The 18,013-nt window shown below is 51.1% G+C and overlaps 1 protein-coding gene across 6 annotated transcripts in view, besides 2 other annotated features; it reads left to right on the top strand.

Moving 5' to 3' along the window:
• BCL11B (BCL11 transcription factor B) overlaps positions 1–18,013 on the top strand; it is a 102,911-nt gene that overhangs the window by 12,118 nt on the left and 72,780 nt on the right. For 3 of the 6 annotated variants that reach the window (NM_022898.3, NM_138576.4, XM_047431707.1), the window contains exon 2: positions 2,241–2,609. The exons of 1 other annotated variant lie outside the window; for it this stretch is intronic. In NM_022898.3, coding sequence (NP_075049.1) covers positions 2,241–2,609 — 369 coding nt within the window. The remainder of the gene's footprint in view (positions 1–2,240; positions 2,610–18,013) is intronic. 2 more of the 6 variants (NM_001282238.2, NM_001282237.2) reach the window with 1 other exon arrangement.
• Positions 2,319–2,593: a silencer, noted in NCBI's record as "fragment chr14:99723824-99724098 (GRCh37/hg19 assembly coordinates)". NCBI's record gives its function as "represses an EF-1alpha promoter that drives an FKBP-Casp9 reporter gene in an ReSE screen in phorbol 12-myristate 13-acetate-treated (for megakaryocytic differentiation) K562 erythroleukemia cells {active_cell/tissue: K562(+PMA)}" and the evidence as "EXISTENCE:reporter gene assay evidence [ECO:0000049][PMID:32094911]".
• Positions 12,373–13,269: an enhancer, noted in NCBI's record as "H3K27ac-H3K4me1 hESC enhancer chr14:99713148-99714044 (GRCh37/hg19 assembly coordinates)". NCBI's record gives its function as "activates a minimal SCP1, AML or CMV promoter by ChIP-STARR-seq in naive H9 embryonic stem cells {active_cell/tissue: H9 hESC(naive)}" and the evidence as "EXISTENCE:reporter gene assay evidence [ECO:0000049][PMID:30033119]".

The following is an 18,013-nucleotide window of genomic DNA, read 5'->3' as shown; positions in this document are numbered from 1 at the left end:
AATGGCGCACAATACATCCTTATATTTCTAAAGAACTGTTTTTACAGTGCTCTCCTTTGGCTCTGAAATTATGTATATGTAATTGGTAATTAAAGGTGCGAGCTTTTCAATATAAACAGTATTGCTCAATGTTAGATCATTAAAGGGAAAAAGAGGCACCAAATAATTACCTTTTACATTCTGACAAACCGTTCACAGGAATCCAGTCTTCCCTAGAACCTCTGTTCGGTGGGAAGGTTGTGATTACATTTTAACCATAGCAAAGCATCTTTTCATAAAATAAATTGGTAAATTAATTACGTGGCATTGTCTTCAAACCCATTTTTAAGTAAACTCCTATTTCTTTCTAAAGTGTAATTAATGGTTTCTGGGACCGGCTTTGTGAGGACTGTTTCTTTACCTTGTAGGTTCTTTTTCTTAGAGAGATGCAGACAACAGATTTAGGATTTCCTCGTCTGCGGGGCGTTTCTGTACTGCCACATTTCTGATGCATTCTGCATTTAATTCATCGAGGGCTCTGTCTGCTTTTCTGTAACCACAGGTGGGATCTCAAATTGTAGTTTCTCTTCTCAGCGATACCTACGTCGCTACCTATTCACACATAGTTCATACGTGCGCGTTGTACGTCTTACATCGTCGTATATTCTGTATTCAGTTTCACACATGGACTCTCCTAGGCCCTGCATAGGCTCGTGTTCAGAAAATAGAGAACAGTGATTTATGTGTAGGATGGGAGATGCCACAGAATTTTTTCCTTAAATTATCTGTTCTTTGGCTCTGGCACTTCAATAACTTCACTGCCACGGAATGTATTTTCCTCCCTCCCATTCCTTCTCGCCGTTCCTCTGTGGTTTTCATTATCCTTCCCTAAATACCATACAACTTAAAATTTACCTGCCTCCTCGGGTTTCAGACCTTTGGCTGCCCTCTGGCTTCCCTGAAGACCCCGCCACTCGTGTCTTCTCTACGACTACTGACATTTGCTCTCGAAAAATTCCAGCCCGAATTTGCTCAGACCCCGAGGGGAATATGAAACCTCCACACTGTCCACTTCTCTTTATTTATGACACTTTTGGCTGCCGAGTCTTCCAATTTTCCCTTGAGGAGGTTGCTGCTTTTTGAGGCATTTATTAGCTTCCAAATATTTGGGTCCTAGGCTCCCTACTCTCTCCCCCACAAAAAAAACCCAAGAGAAATCTATCGGCTGCTAAAGAAATATAAAAACATACAGTCCATTGAAAGTGTGGTTTGATATCTTCCAAGAAATGCTTTTGGAGTCTGGAGAATTTTCTTTCTTTCATTTTTCTGGGAGTGAAAATAAAATCAACAAACAGAAAAGGACAGTGGGGAGTTGATGAGTGTGGGGGAAATCTACAGAGAAATGGAAGTCTGACCGGGCCTCGGGTGCTTGGCAGGAGAGCCTGCTTCCCGACTCTGCAAGCCGGTTCCAGCCTCCCTTCTGCTGCAGTGCTTTCTCCTAAGATATTTTTTTGGAACCTGACACTCACTTGTTGCTTTCTGAGCATGTGGGCTTCCTTCTCTCCTAAGGACGGGCCCTTAGACGCCCATCTGGGTTTCTGTTTTCTAGTTTGGTGTGTGGCCAGGTCCCAGGTAGAGGAATGTGAGTGGGATTCGCATGAATGGGGAGGGCATGAATGAAGGTGTAAGGGATGGGAGGGGTGGGGCTCCAGCCCAGCAGGGGGAAAGGGCTCCAGCTCACTGGTTCTCGGCCCTGGCTGCCCATTGGAATCACCTGGGGAGTCTGAAAGACTATTCCGATGTTTGTTCCCAGTGTAACTGGTCAGGGGTGCTGCCTGCGCCTTGGGATTTTTCAAACCCTCCAGGTGATTCTCAGATACTGGAAACTTTGAGAGACACATCACGACCTCATGCTGTCAGCAGCCAGGGTGTGTGTGTATGCACGTGTGTCCGTGTGTGTTCTTATACTACGTTGGGGAGAAACTGGCAGAAAATAAACTAGAATGCAGTAAGATCGGCACTACTTACGTGGCAATGCCCAGGGGGCACGACGTTGCTCCTAGAGCCTCAGTGTGCCCATCTGTCCTGTGGGGGATGCTCACCAGCCCCCAACCCCGGGGAGGACCTGGTGAGCTCTGGCAGCCAGCAGCAGAGGGGGCTGCTTCTTGGCGGGGAAGGGGTGGACCGGAAGTTGGGTGCTGTGACCGCCTAAGCCCATCTCTATCTTCTCTGCCCCTTCCCTTTCTTCTTTCTGTCTCCAGCAGAGGCTGACCATGTGGAGGCCGCCATCCTCGAAGAAGACGAGGGTCTGGAGATAGAGGAGCCAAGTGGCCTGGGGCTGATGGTGGGTGGCCCCGACCCTGACCTGCTCACCTGTGGCCAGTGTCAAATGAACTTCCCCTTGGGGGACATCCTGGTTTTTATAGAGCACAAAAGGAAGCAGTGTGGCGGCAGCTTGGGTGCCTGCTATGACAAGGCCCTGGACAAGGACAGCCCGCCACCCTCCTCACGCTCCGAGCTCAGGAAAGTGTCCGAGCCGGTGGAGATCGGGATCCAAGTCACCCCCGACGAAGATGACCACCTGCTCTCACCCACGAAAGGCATCTGTCCCAAGCAGGAGAACATTGCAGGTATGGGATGCTGCGCTTGCCTGGTTGCTGTGGAAGCCACCTCCTGGGTCCCATGCCCTCTGCCTGAGTGTGCTGGTGCAGGGGAAGGCCCAGGGGCTTCCAGGATGGCCTCTGGGCCACCAGCCGGGGCTCCCCCTTTCTGAGGGTCCACCATCCAGGTGACCTTCAGGAGGAGACAGGCCTGGGGCTCGGGGAGGCCCAAATGGCTGATGGCTGCTTGCTTTTGGTGAGGGGACTCTGTCTCGGGGGCTAATCCAGAGGTGGTCAGAAGCACAGAATGAAAATTTGGAAGTCTGGTTGGCCCTCTCTTTGCTACTGATCTTGGCTTAGTCCCTGATTTTGAAGCCAGACAGTTTTGGGTTAGAGTTTGTCTTCACAACTTGGACATGTTAGTTTGCCCATCTGTGAAATGGAGCTAAGGAAACCCACCTCATTAGGGTTGCTGTGAGGACGAATGAGCTGTTGCATGCGGCATGACCTGGTAGGCACTTAGGAATGGGAGTGCTCATTCTCTCCCCTCTCCTTTCTCTCTGGACTCAGTTTCCCATGTGTGAAATGAGGAGTTAGGCCCCCTGATCTCAGAGGTTGCTTCTGACATTGCCCGACCCCAGGGGCCGGTCCCAGGCAGGGGTGTGGGAACTTGTTGGAGCACTGTGCCCGTTGGGGGAGGTTGGATATGCCCTTTGACATGCTCACTCATTTGACCACTGGGACAGCTGGTTTTACCACCTTGAGAACAGGTCTAGGGCCCCTCTGTCCCCAGGCGTGGGTCTGCTCACCACAGTGAGTTAGCATGAAGTCCCTCCCTCTTGGCCAGCACCATGGCATGCTGGAGCCTCTTCCAGGGAGCCGCTGCTCTCTGTGCAAACCAGAGTGTTTGTTTCTGGTTTATACTTCTGAGCCCAGGAGGCCTGGGGGAGAAAGGAGGGCCTGGCCAGCCTGGGTTCCCTAAAAAGCAGCAGCCTGTGCTGGAGCAAGATGGGCATCAGAGTTTATGCAGACGAGTGTTCAAATCCTGATGGTTGACTTTGGATTAGCCACTTCATGGGTCCGAGCCTCAGTTTCCCCATCTGTCAACAGAAAGTGATAATAGCAGCAGGCCTGGTGTGAGGATTAGATGAGCAGGGGCTCTTAATCAGTCTTTTGCCCGTGGCACTTCTCTCTCAGAGGTTTCGTCTGGCTCTGCGGTGTGCAAGTAGGTGGCTGGCTGGGGAAACGAGTGCATTGATCGTTACCATGCTTCCATCATGGAAGGTAGCATGGGCTCTGGAGGGACTCAGGCTTTCGATGCTTCTAGGAGGGTGAGATGGATGGGCATGGGCACTGATCAAGACCCATCACCCAGGACGCAGTCAGGGTAATGCTGCAAGCCTGTCTCCCCCACGTCTCCAAAGCTTTGTGATGCTGAGCCTCACTTTGCTCACCTGCACAAGGGGCTTAGTGAGCCCTCTCTTTTGTGGGGAGACTGTGGTGGTATGCAGAGTCCTGCAGCCTCATGCCAGGCACTGGGGAGACATCAGTGAACCAGATTGGCCTCTGGGCCTTGCCTTCTGATGGGTGCCCTAGCATGAAGTGTCTCATACACTTTCCAAGATGCAAGGGGCTTTGAGACATGTCCAGGCCACCGGCATGTAAACACTGGCTTCTCAGAGTGCTATGTGCACCTGAGCAGCGTCTCTTCACCGGGCTGAGCCATCAGGCGAGAGAGGTGCTGGGTCCCTTTTGTCTTTGTTGGTCCACATTCCAGGGACAGTTTTACCTGTAGTATCGACGCCTGGCCTCAGTGCACATCGATCTTTCAGGGGTGGCCTTGCTAGGGAGACTCGGGCCGCCTATTTATGTTTCCATGGAAAGATTTGCTGCTTTTGCCAAAAACATCCAAATCCTCATTTCACATTGAAGGCATTTCCCAATGAGAGGCTGCAGATCACTGTGGCAGGTTTGTTTAAGAAAGTGACTAAATGTGATTTCATAAAAGGCAAAGCTAATCTCCAAGGCAGCTTTGTCCTCATCCTTCCACCCCCTGGCCCCCCTGTTTTTTTTTTTTTTTTTTTTTTTTTTTTTTCCAGGTTGTGATACTGCAGCAGCCTACAGTATCTTTATTTTATGTGTGACGAAAGATATTCTTGGCCTTTCTGTTCAGCAACAGGACGAATGGATTTCTTCATTCTAGAAGAAATATGTAAAATAATCCCTTAGAAGTCTAAAGAGATATGTTTGTTCAAAGCATTTAAAATGTTATTTTAATCAAAGGCACAAAACAGTCTACATGCTGTGTCAGCTGAAGACGACCATCCCATTTTAACAGCACACATGCGCCTGCCTTCTAGTTCCCATTCCTCCTATTTCCCTGCCTACTTGGGCAGCAACTTTTCTTTTTTTATTTAATAAAAAGGAAAGATTAAAGAAGAAAACTTCAGTGGCTCAAATGTATAAAGTAATTTAATATGGTGGGAGCATTAATTATTTTAGCTTAATTGAATTCCGAGGACTGCAGTAGTTGCATTTTTGTAGACAAGCCCTGTTTATTATTTCTCTGTGTAGATTAACAGTAAAGGAAACACAGATAACTTTCAGTTATTTATTGTAAAATAAATGTGTCAATTCATGTGTAAAGCAAGCTGCTCAGAGATAATTGAGTCTTTATATTTTAAGAGGGGGACTAGGAATCACGGGCACTTCTCCGCCCAGGCTTCCGGAAACCCGTCCAGCTGCTGCCCACGCTCCTGGCCCCCGGGCCGGCTGTCCCTCCAGGCTTCTGCCTCCTGGCCGGGGCTCCAAGGAGTCCTCCAATCCCTCCATGACCTGCTATTGTCCCCAGGGCCTCGCTGGCCCCGGCCAGTAGCTGGTGAGCGGGTGGCTGTTAATTCTTGGACTCTGCCTCTGGCTTTGGCTGTCCAGGCTCAGAGGAGTCCAGGGTGAGGTGACCTCGAGGGTCCTGGTGGCTGTGAGGGTCCTGCCTTTTCCAGGGCCAGCAACCTTCCTGATACCCAGGCAGGTCCCCGCTCTTCCTTGCTACCAGGTGCTTCTAGAAGTGGGGACTCCAGAGGCAGACCCGAAGGGGGTTCCTCCCACCCTTAAGGGAGATCCCAGGGTGAGAACTGCAGGGGGATTCTGTCAGTCATCACACTAGGTCGGGGACCCCATATCAGCTGTTTCCTCGGGATAGTCATTCTGGAGAGTAATTACTGTTATTTTTTATTTTTGGTAAATGATAGAGAAGTAGGAAGGTAGAGGGAGGAAGTTTCTGAAGCTTTGTTTTCTGGAGGGCATTCATTCATTCATTCAGCAACTGAGCACCTGGGGCCCATCCTCCGCCCTGGGTGTCCCCACCTGGATCCCCAGGTAAACAGCCCCCAGAGGAGGGAGCGGGCGTCCAACATGGGGATAATGGGCAGAGTGTGAGCTGGCAGCAGCCCTGCTCTTGACGTGTGCATTCTGGATCCAGGGCTCCACTCCCTGCTGAGCATTCGCTGTGGACGGAGGAGGTCCTTGGAAATTTGTTTCAGGCCTCTCTGGGGATGGGGCGAAGCTGGTCAGAGGCAGGGTCTTTAGCTGGTGGTCTGACTCAGGGCAGCTATGGTGCCTCTGATACATCGCTGCCTATAGGTTTACATTCTTTATGTTTCTTAAGGTTCCTGCCTGTGGCATTCTCCCTGCCTCTGTGGGAGTTCAGGGGAGCACAGGACCCATCCTTTGGGGGAGCTGAGAGGTGTTCCAGGTTTTGCAAAGAGCACGTGGCGCTGCCAAGCCGTTATCTGGGAGGGGTGTTTTGAGGAGGGGTGAGGAGAAAGGGGCTTTCAGGGTGTTTGGGGTTTGAAGGCTGTCTGTTGCTGTGTGGGAAAGAACACAGCCCGAGTCAGAGCCCCACCCTGCTCCCTGCCAGCCTCCGGCAGCCACTTGACCTTCTGAGCCGCGGTTTCCTCATCTGTCATTGTGACATTTATGATGAGTGCCTGGCACACGGTGGGGGTAGGTGTGCTGCAAATAGGAGCTTTTCCTGGCGCTCGGCTTTCCCTCCTCCGCCGCATTTTCAGGCGTTAGAGCAGCTTGCACCGGTCTTCTTGGCAATGGGCTCCTGTCAGGGTTGGGACAAACCGCCACTGGGTTGTGGGACTAAATCCACCATCACAGGCAGTGTCAGCATGGAGTAGACTCTCTCCCGTCCATTCTGCCTTTTGTTAGGTGACTGTCCCTTGAGGATCTCTTTGCTGGCGGTGCACTCTGAGGAGCCGGCGGGGGGTTTCAGGTGAGGGAGCACAGGCTTTGGCATCTCCCGGGTGGAATCCCAGCCCCATCACTCACTGCTGGCCACCTGTGTGAGTCACTTCACTTTTCTTGGCCTCCGTTTCCTCGTCTGCACCTCCTTTTTGGGTTATGCTGAGGATGAAATGAGGAAGCACCCACCTGGCACCGGTTGGGCCTGAGGCAGATGATCAAGAAGTGGATGCTTCTAGAAAGCCAAACACAGGAAAGTGTGGACCCTGCTTGGCAGCATGCCGAGTACGTGTTTTTCTTGGTCAAAACCATGATCACTTACCTGGGATCTCTCTCACGGTGATTTCCTACAGGTTCCTCCATATAATTCTCACTTGATAGTCACTGAAGGGGAGGCGCTTGATCACCAGGAATTTGGTTTTGCCTGTTTTCAGCCCTTCCATAACCAAATGAAGCTACAGAGGGAGGAATTAACTATCAGCTGTCACTCATAGGCCTGCCTCCGTAACCCTCCAAGTCCTGAATGTCAGTTTTCTGGAGAAGTGCGGAGACAGGCAGCAGGTGACAGGAGGTGGCAGATCCCTCTGGGCTTGGAGGTGGCAGGCAGCCCTGGCTGCGATGTCCCTGCCCACTTGATATGTCTTCATCCACAACCTAGGGAGGACGCGGGATCTACCTGGGAGATTCTCTTAGCAGGTGGGGCACAGATAAGGGTTTGGTTTGGGGCCCCAGTGACCCATTGCTAAGCAAAATGTGTGAGAGAAAAGGACTTCTGACGAGCCCAGGGATTTACGTGCTGCTTTGGGAATGTTCTCTCCAGACTTTTAAAAATAAATAAAATAAACGTGAAAAAAAATATTAGCTTGGCTAGTGAGAGAAACTAAATAACTTGCTTGTGCTGGAAACTGGAGATAAACCCCACTCGCAGGTTGCCTTAAAAAACTTGCACTTGATCTATTTAGAGTTGTTATTTTCCCTTCAAATTAAGATGCGTTAAATCCATGTGTGTTGTGGCATGGATTATCTTTTTTTATTATTAAATCATGACAGCTAATTATTAGTTCTGTCTGCACCGAGGAATAGTGCAGTGTTCTGTCTGAGGGACATGGCCCTGGGCTCAGGCTGGGGTTTGGGTGTTGGGATGGCTGAACAGGGCAGAGTTTGGGCTGGGCTGGTGGGTGGTGGGGAAGAGGGGCGCTACCTGGTATTCCTCATTGTGCTAGATGCTTTTCTTGGGTTATCTCACTTAATTCTTCAACCTTGAAATATATATTTCTAACCCTACTTTGAACTGGGGCTCAGAGAGGTTAAGGGAGTTGCTGAAGGTCACACAGCAAAGCAGAGTCAGACTCAGTCAGGCCTAGTTTCCTTGGATAGCAAGGGGTGTGGAGGATTTTGGGGATGGGTATTCTAACTCTGTCTGTCTGGCTGGTGGGGCCTTGATGGCGGGCACCACCTCTGACCCCATCCAAAATGGTCTTTGAAGCCCATCCCAGATATGACCCTGTGGATACAGCCAGAAGTCCTCAGACCCCCAGGGACCATGGCCTTCAGTCTGTGGCTTTTGTATATACTGTCCTGTACTTCCTAATGAGGGCATTGGAGAGATGGGTGGTGACAAAGAATGAAGTACACTGTAAATTCAGGTGCACCTGGGCCAGAATTTTAGATTTTTTCCCATACATATGATTATTTCTTTTATTTTATATTCACTGTTGCATAGACTTTTCCCCCATAAATACAAATTATTTGTTTTATTTTGTGGAATTGTGGTTTTGCCAGGGTCTTGCTATGTGACTGTCAGCCAACTGTTTGCCTCCCCAGGTCTCGGTACCTATAACTGGAGATAATGTTCCTTGTGTTTTGGGCTTGTTATAAGGTTTGATTCAGACAAGGTATACATAGAACAGGTTCCTGTGGGTTTTAGCTGTTGTTGATAATGGAGATCCTGCCGGTGGGATCCAGAGGAAGGGTCTGGCTTCCTAGCCTCCTGGAAGGACCTTGCTGCCAACTCTTCCCTTCTCACCTGCTCAGTGACTTGTCTGAACTTACATAACTAGTTACTGGCAGAGCTGAGTCCAGACCCCAATTATCTCGAGTCAGGACAGGTGACTTTTTGCCATCCCAGGGTGCCCACCCCTGTAGCTTGAGGCCATCTCCCCTGGTGGAGTCCCAGTTTCCTCAGCTGAGAAAGGGGGTGAGCCCTTCCTGTCCCACTGGCCTTCCAGGGAGGCGGTGGACCCACCTGCCATGTGAACTGTGCAAACCAGAGTCAAGAGTGTGTGCCGCTAACATGGTGACATCAGCACCGATTGTAGTTGAAAGTTTTATTGGATTAAAAAAAAGACAGACAATACTGGTCACATAAATGGGTGTTTTTTTTTTCTCTTAAGGTTTGAGGCCTTATTTATTGTTTTATGTACGTAGTTCCATACTTCCAGCAGTAATTCAGGAAACAGGAGAGAGAGATAAGGTAAGAAAAAGAGAGAAAGGCAGCTGGGCTCCCAAGGGGTGAACTTAACCAACATTCAGCCTGAGTTAATATTATTATTCTTAGTTTGTCTATTTGACAGTAAATAGTTAGTATTGACTAAAGTTTTTTTAATCAGGCATTTGACAGCTTTTTTGAGTGGTTGTTGCTCATTTGCATGCTTGGCTAATGAATTAACCACCAGGTCTAGAATCTGTTAGGAGTGGGCTCTGCTGATAATCTATAGAAATAAGGCTGACTGGCTGTCACCCTGTGCCTTTGGGGTCATCTTTTCACTGAGGAAACAAAGAGATGGAGTTTTTCCTAATTTCATGTAAAATTTATTTATTTATTTTTGAGACAGAGTCTCGCTGTCGCCCAGGCTGGAGTGCAAGGGCGCGATCTCAGCTCACCAAAACCTCTGCCTCCTAGGTTCAAGAGATTCTCCTGCTGGGCACGGGGGCTCACGCCTGTAATCTCAGGACTTTGGGAGGCCGAGGCGGGGGGATCATGAGGTCAGGTGATCGAGACCATCCTGGCTAACACGGTGAAACTCCGTCTCGACTAAAAATACAAAAAATTAGCTGGGCATGGTGGCGGGTGCCTGTAGTCCCAGCTACTCAGGAGGCTGAGGCAGGAGAATGGTGTGAACCCAGGAGGTGGAGCTTGCAGTGAGCCGAGATCATGCCACTGTACTCCAGCCTGGGCGACAGAAGGAGATTCCATCTCAAAAAAAAAAAAAAAAAAAAGATTCTCCTGTCTCAGCCTCCTGAGTAGTTGGGATTACAGGCGCCTGCCTGGCTAATTTTTGTAGTTTTAGTGAGATGGGGTTTTGCCATGTTGGCCAGGCTGGTCTCAAACTCCTGTATTCAGGTGATCCACCCGCCTCGGCCTCCCAAACTGTTGGGATTACAGGCACGAGCCACCGCACCCAGCCTGATGTTAAATTTAACTCATACTTACTAGATCTTACTGTGTGCCAGACACTATTCTAAAGACTCTGCAGATACTAACTGGTGTAATCCTCCCTATGACCTTATGATATGCTAATATCAGCCCCACTTTATAGAAGAGGAAACTGAAGCCCAGAGATGTTAAGTTATTTACCCAAGGTCACACAGCGGTGAGTAGGGTCCCAGGGTGTCAACTCCGGCAGTTATGTTCTTCACTGTGGTCATAACTGTGCCTACATTCCATCCACCTCTCTGCCCCACGAGGGTGGTAAATCAGGTATTCCTTTCATTTTGCAGATGAGGCAACTGAGTCATAGAGAGGTACCTTGCACAGTTGTCCGGTGAGTCACCAGCTCAGTTGCGCCTAGAGACCAGGCTCCTGGGAGGGAGAGCATTAGGAAAAATAGCTAATGCATGCTGGGCTTAATACCTAGGCGATGGGTTGGTAGGTGCAGCAAACCACCATGGCACACGTTTACCCATGTAACAAACCTGCACACCCTGCACATGTACCCCAGAACTTAAAATTAAAATTAAAATAAAAAAAGAGGACAGGCTCCTGACTTCCCAGGGAGGCCCTGGGTCTTCACTGTGTCATGTCCCAGGAGCCCAGGCCTCGTGGGATCCTGTGTTCTTGAACTGTGGCTGGTGCAGGCCCTTTCTGCTCCTGGCTGGGCAATGAGTGATTTCCACTCTGAGGTCGAATCTTGGTGATGGGACTTGGGTTCCAGAGTGGGGTGAAAGAACCAAGACAGTAGGCACCCACCTGTCCTGCACACATCTGTGGTTTCATGTTGACTGCATTTTGGGAGGAGCTGGCCCCCACCTCGTCATGAGTTACAGGCAAGTGGCCCTGTTGAGTCCAGAGTGGGGAGAGGCAGGCACAGTGGACTCTGGCTCGAGACCTAGGATGGCATCCTACTGTGGCTGGCATGCTGTGTGACCTTGAGCAGACAGATCTTCCCCGTCTCTGGGGCTGAGCCTGCTGGGCTGAAATGTGAGATGGAGCCACCAGTGGTTTCTAACAGCTGCAAGAGCCAGGCAGAAGGTCGTGCATTTCCCACCTCAATTCCTTTCCCACCCAGTAGTTCCCCCAACTTTCCTCATTTTTCACATTAATGAGGCTTAGGAGTCAGTTTTCTCTGAAGAAACTGGTGGTGAAAATGAAAACTGTTAGATTGAAAGCTTAGGTCTTTCTGCCCCAGGCTGTGAAGATCCTTATGGGAGAATTTGGTCCACTCACCGTGAGGTAAACAGTTGAAGCTCAGAGCCCCTTGTGTGACCAGGCCCTGTCCCTAATGTCCCTGTGTGGTTTGGCATTCTTTTCTTTGTGATGAGTGTACCCTGAATTGTATAAACCTCGGGCCCTGCAAGATCTGGACCCACCCTGGCCCAGAGCCTGCTGGGGGCGGCCAGTGACCTCTGGGCACACAGGGAGTGGGAGCCTCCTCAGGGGAGGGTGTGATCAGGACTTGCAAGCCTCGAGTTGGACCCAGGGAAGAAGAGGCCTTGCTGGAGAAGGCAAGGCACCCGAGGCTTCATTTTATTTTGTTTTTGAGTTTTCTTGACGCCTTCTTGCTGGTCCGCTGGTTTTGGTCTGGAGGGCCCTGGGGTGTCTCAGAAAGGAGGAGTCTGTGCTGAGGGTTGGGAGAGGAGAGCAGGGAGGGAGGGAGGAGGGAGCCCTTGATCAGCCACAGGTCTGGGAAAGCATCTGCCCCTCGCTGCTCAGACAGCTGGGAAACTGGGACCACAGCCTCCTCTGGGCGGAAAAATAGTAACAAAATAGCCTTTTTGTTGGAGGTGAAAAGTCAGACTCCCCCACTCCTGGTGTGGAGAAAAGGCAGCAGCCAAGGGCAGGGTGAGCCCCCCAGCCCAGGACCGCCTGCTCTGTCTCTAAGCCAAGGCAATGTTTGATCAGGGCTGTTTTCCCCCCATCCCCTGCCCTGGGGGCTGAGTGCCTGGGCAGCTTCCATGGCCTTCAGGTTGCGGGTGTGGACACAACCTCAAAGGTGCAGGCAAACAGGTGCGTGGGTCAGCGTCTGCTGAAGATGAATCCAGAGGCACAGAGCCCTAGGAGCTGGTAGCCCCAGTGCCTAGGCTGTGCCTCTAGTGATATGGCACAGATGAAGCCATCCGTCCAATCCACAAGAGTGTCCAGAAAACACGCGTCTACCTCCTGATGACTGCAGGTGCCAAAGGCATCCTGGAAAGGAGTGGAGAAGGTGGCTTTATTTCAAAGCCTTTTTCAGGGTAGAGCACACCTCCTGGAGAGTGTAGCCAGCCAACCAGGGATTCCAGGCTCCTCCCTTGGGGTTTGAGGGCAGAGACTGGCTGTCCTGGGCTCAGAGAGACAACAACTGTCTGAATTCTTCTCTGTTCGGGAGAAAATGGGACAAACCTTCAGTGACTCCCTGCCACCTTCAGCAGCTGGCTAAAAACTGTTGGAGTTGGTAAACCCAGCAAAACTAAGTTTTCCTGGGGCTGGAGCGGGTTCTTTTCTCCTCCCACCTCAAGTTCAAAGCCAGCCAATTAAGAAAGCTAAACAGTGTGGTCTTCTCTCTGCATCATTGGCTTGTAAAACTTTCCCTGCAAACTAGGCGACTTTATTTGTTGGGAAAACGAAGTATATAATTTTCCTGACCTGGCCTTTGCTTTGGGGAGAAGGGGAAAGAGAGAAAGAAGTCATTTCCAGAAACAGACGGGCCCCGAGGAGCAAAACAAGGTCCACACTCCAGCGTCAGGGCAGCGTAGACTGCAGCGCTGTGGTCTGGAACGCTGAAAACAGCGTGTTGCGGGGAGGCGGGACGCGAGGCTCCAGGCTGCGGAGCCCTCTGGGGCCTGGGTCACTGTCTGCGAGGTGGACATCGAAGTCCTCCCAATTCTGCTTTCGAACCTCTGGGCGCCACCTGCCTCCCCGCTACTGCAATTTTCCGGTTTCCCCGACGTTTGCAACTTGCAAGTCTCCTCTCACTTCCTTCCATCTCCAGCAGCCCCTCCTCAAGCTTGGCCTCCTCCCCTCCCCGCGACGGTGCCTATCCCGAGCAAATCATACCCATCCTCTCCGCCGCCCGCAAGACAGCCTCCCCCGCCCTGCCCGAGGGGTCTTCAGGCCCCTCCCTCCAAGGGCTCAATGGTTGGGGTCCATAGCCCCCTTCATTGCCACACAGGAGAACACAATGGCCTTCCCCGAGGCCAGGGGCGCAGAGCTCCGCGGGGGCGGCTGCATCTCCCGGACCCCGCACCCGGCACGGCGCGGACACTTTGGCAACTTCAAAACTGCGCGGGGGCCTCCCCTGCGAGCGGTGCCCCTTTCCCGGCTGGCCCTGGCCGGGTCGGGAGGCTCCTCGGCACTGTTCCCAGGCCTGCGGGCGCGCCTGGCCCCCGCCTGGCCGCCGGCCTCTGATTCGCCCACGGCCTTGCGCCCATCGTCCACCTCCTTCCCTCTCTCTTTGACCCGCGCCCGCTGCGCACGTTGATTGTGCCTTGGTGGGGCGGGAGGGCCGAGAGGGCTCAAGGTCCATGCATAATTCGGGGGCTTAATGGAGCAGCTGCCTGAGCCGGGCGGCGAGGGGCGGGCGGAGGCGCAGCTGACCCAGCCCGCGTCTGGCCTCGCTGGGAAGGCGCGCTCCTTTCTTCCTCCCCTGACACTCCCCTCCCCCACTCGGCCTGGGTCCGAGGAAGGCGGGGGGTGGGCGAGTCGAAGGGCTAGCTTTGGGAAGGGGTTTCCCTCGTGCATCCGTGCAACTTTTGCTTTGGGGGGCGGGGGGCATGCAGTGAATCGGAGCCGCCTCGGGACCGGCTCCTGAAGGTGGTGGAATGCAGGCTTCCTCGGAGCACTCTGCAGCCCTGGAGTCTTTTTTCCCGGCTCCTTTCCCCCCCGCCCCCGTCGGTCCCCAGCCCAGCAGCAGCCCAGCGAGCACGCCTCTGGCCCCGGGCCAGCCCCCTTCCCTGGCAGCCGGCGGAGATGGATGGAGGCGGAGACCCAAGGTCAAGGGCGGGGAGCCTGCCGGCCCCGGGCCCCTTTGTGCGCACGGGGCCGCCCCTCCTCCACCAGTCGCCTCCTCTCTGGCCCTTGGGCGCTCTCCCGGGTGGGTGACCTTCTCGGGCATGGGGAATGTGGAAGTGGTCCCCTCCCCGAAACCGTGCGCGCCGGTCGGGTCGCTTCGCCGGGGTGGCATTCGTCCCGGGTGCTGGGGGCGCACGGGGATCCCTCTTCCGCCCGCCGCCATTGCCCTGATGAGTGGCGCCGTCTTCCTCAGCCCACCTTGGCGGGACAGAGCGGGCGGTTCCCGGGATCCAGGTGAGGCCGGGACGGAAGGAGCCTCCGGGAGTTCCCTTGTACAAAAATGTGATCATCCAGGGGCAACAGCCCCATCTCAAAGTGGGGATTTCGTGGGGACCTTAGTTTCTTTCCGAGTGGGAGAAGAGTAAGCCCGCTTTTCTCAAGGACAAAAGTGTTTTCCCAATTGTGTGGGAATGGAACCCTCCACTGGAGTGGGACACCGAAGCTCCTGGAATTACAGGGATTTAATGTCAGTCCTCCTTTCAGCCTGACTTCTCTTAGGATAACCTCTTCCAACAAGAATTTGTATGCAAATCGTCACCTTGCTAGGAGTCTCTAGTTTTGTGTGTTAAAAATTGGCCTCCAATTGTTTAAAGCACTTCAACAGGCCCTTAAAGGCCCAGAAAAGCAGTGGTTGGACGCCCAGCCTGTCCACCACAAAGCTCTTAAGAAAATGTTCAAACATTTTCCCAAAGCTGTTACTCTGGAAATAAAACTGTATACTGTTCGCCTGTAGCCGATTAAAAGTTTACCTTCACTGTGACAGCTTTTCCAGGCTAGGATTGGACCCACATCTCTATTTTCCATTTTTCAGAAATAAATCTAAACCAGGCAGAATTGATTTGCTATAACAAGAGTCAAGGTAGTATTAAAAATATGCGTATACCTATATACTTATAATATGAAATAGTATGTTACACTTGCTGGGCTCTCAAGGCGAGTATTGTGTAAACGGCACCGTCATGGCGTTTTGAGTAAGAGTTGATTTTAAAATCTCAGATTTAGCTAACCCGAACTTTGAGCAGCCAGCTTTTCTGGTAGAGGAATCTGAAGGCATTTGTCAATTTATTTTTTGCAAGCCCTCCGGAAAAGGTAACAAATTCAACACTTGGGAGCTCAAAGCTACTGCCAGTCCTGGACAGGAAGGTTTTCATATCTGTCTGAACTTGCTCGCTGATTTCTCAGACGTCCATTTATAACAGTGGGTCTAACAAGATAGAATCCGCCTTTGAATATCTGTAAATACGGGTAAAGATCACAGTCCAGCACTCATAATGGTCCAAAACGAACTGGCAGATTCTCGTGTTTGATTAATATTTATGTTACCGGATTCCTTTACAGAAAGAAAGATGAAACGCTAATTATGTGTGTGTGTGTTTGACGGGCCCCATCCTAGGTCTCTGCAGTTCATTTAAAGGGATGTACATTTTAGGATTTTTGGAGACTAGGGGTGTGTGTGTGTGTGAGGGGGGGGTAATTGTTCATGTTTTGCTTGAAAGACAGGTAACCTGTGGTTGGCTGAAGTATTGGCTGGTACACTGAGGGAGAGGCTGACTTTTCATTTTCCTTTTCTTTATTTTGACGGCTCAACAGTGATCAGAATTACGCGTGATTTCTCCCTGTATGTTTGGGCTAAGGCTTGGACAGTGTGGTGGAAGGCTCTTGTTCAGGATCTTCCTCGAGGAGAACTGGTAGCCCCCAGGGTGCTCTGGCGTCTTTGCAGGGCACACTTTCTGCGCCTGAGTGGCAGGGTAGGCTGCCCTGCAGTGTGTGCTTCCGAGCCCTGCCATGTGTCTGTAGGGCACTTTCCTTGCTTTTTTTTTTTTTTTTTTTTTTTTTTTTTTTTTTAGGAGCAATGTGTGGGAGATTTGCCTGGAAATGGGGGGTTCTGTCAGCTGGATCATGTTGAAATACCAGTGCAATTGGTAGCCAAAGGGATCCTGGAGAAGCCTCCTTCGGAGGTGCTGTGTTAAGCATCTTCAATTTTATTGCTTTGAGAAGCCTAGATTTTTGTATAGGATTTCCTACAAGGGTGCTTCCAGAGTGGCACCTGAGTCCTGCTTAGAGGTTCAATAATATTTGTTGTTGCTGGAGCGTCAGGGGCCGTGTCGTTGTTAAAGCCGCAGAATCTAGAGGTTGGCATGTGGTGTCGGATAGTCTCGAATGCATTGACTTCCTAAACAGCCCAGGGCAAACCAGTTCATCTGTTAGTTGCTTCATCTATAAAATGGGGCTAGCCAATTGTTTACTTCCCTGTCCCTGTCCAGATATGAAAACAAACCCATAGGTAGGAGTGAAGCAATTGCTGATTTCAAAGACATCATAAAAATGGAGAACTGTTATTGTTCAGTCCGTGGGGGCAGGGTGACTAATTTGCAAAAGGGAAAGGAATCAAATAGCCTCTTCTAGAGGGTGTAATTTTTTACTGCAAGGAAGAAGAATTAGGGGCTTTGGGAGGAGGTTTATGTGGGGAGGGGGGCACTTGGTTTTTCAATTTAGTAACCTGATACCAATAGGAAACTCCCCCACTTCCCCATTCATTTTAGAGGAGTGTTCCCCCACCCCAGCTCCTTGTTATTGTTGGGACTGTCACATGATTCAGAATCTTGATACTGAATAGTGTCACTGCTGCTCTTGACCTGAATACCCTAGAAAAGGTATTTTTTCCTGATATTTGGTCTCAGGCCCCAGAAGGAGAGGAGCTGGACAGGGGACATGTAGACTTGGATTAGGGAGGAATGCATACAGCAAGCAGTCTTTAAATGCACAGGCTTGCTAGGTGCCGGTGAGGAAGGAACTCAAAGCGGACCAGTGAGGAAATTCTCACCGCCTCTCAGAGCTAACAAAAATTGGCACTTATCCCCATGGAGCACACAGCTGTCTGCTATGAAATGGTACCTTCACTAGGGAAGCCAGAGGGCCTAAGTGTCCTATTGGGGCTCCATTTTACTTTTTGGTTGTTGCTTTTCTTTGGAAGTGTCTTGATTTCTTTTTTCCAGCAAAAGCTGGATTACTTGAATTAGATTTTTCATAAAATAACCTCTGGCAGGGTCCAAAACCTCTGGATTAGTCTTGTTAGTTAGGAAATACAGAAGCTTTCTTTATGTATTTGGTTTGTTCACCCTGGCTGGGCCAAGACTTTGGGCTGGAGTTGTGGGGTAGGGGTGGGAGAGTGTGGTCCTCTCCTTTCCCCATGGGGGCCTTGACCCAGCCCCTGTTCACTGGCACTGGGGCTGGAGTGGGGAACGGCAGATACCTGGAGTCTGCGATGGTGCAGGCTTGGAGCCAGGAGCTGTCTGGTGCTTCTTAATTGAATACAGATCTAAGTAAATTCCACGTGGGCATGCAAGGCTGGGCAAGGAAGGCCGTGATATTCCCCTCTCCACGGCTGGACTCGTAACCCTCCCAACCTGACGGGCCTCTCCGCCTGTCGCTGTACCCAGCCCACATGGTTTGCGAGAAAAGGTAGGGAAGCAGGGGGACAAGATCATGCAACGCCCATGTAAATATTGTCTGTATGAACTGGGTCTTCCATCTTTTGTTAGTGGCAGCTCGTTAATTAACCAGCAGATTAGTGCTGCCTTCTTTTGACACATGCATGTATTTTGGGGTAGAGGATTCTTGTTCTCCTAAAACTCTGAACCGAACCGCTCAGAAAGTCTTCCTTCAGCGCCGCCTGCCCCTGCTCCCTCTCCCTGAT

This window comes from Homo sapiens, chromosome 14, assembly GCF_000001405.40.
Source record: "Homo sapiens chromosome 14, GRCh38.p14 Primary Assembly".
NCBI lineage: Eukaryota > Metazoa > Chordata > Mammalia > Primates > Hominidae > Homo > Homo sapiens.
The sequence above is the reverse complement of the archived record's forward strand: the minus strand, read 5'-3'. Positions and strand labels throughout refer to the sequence as shown.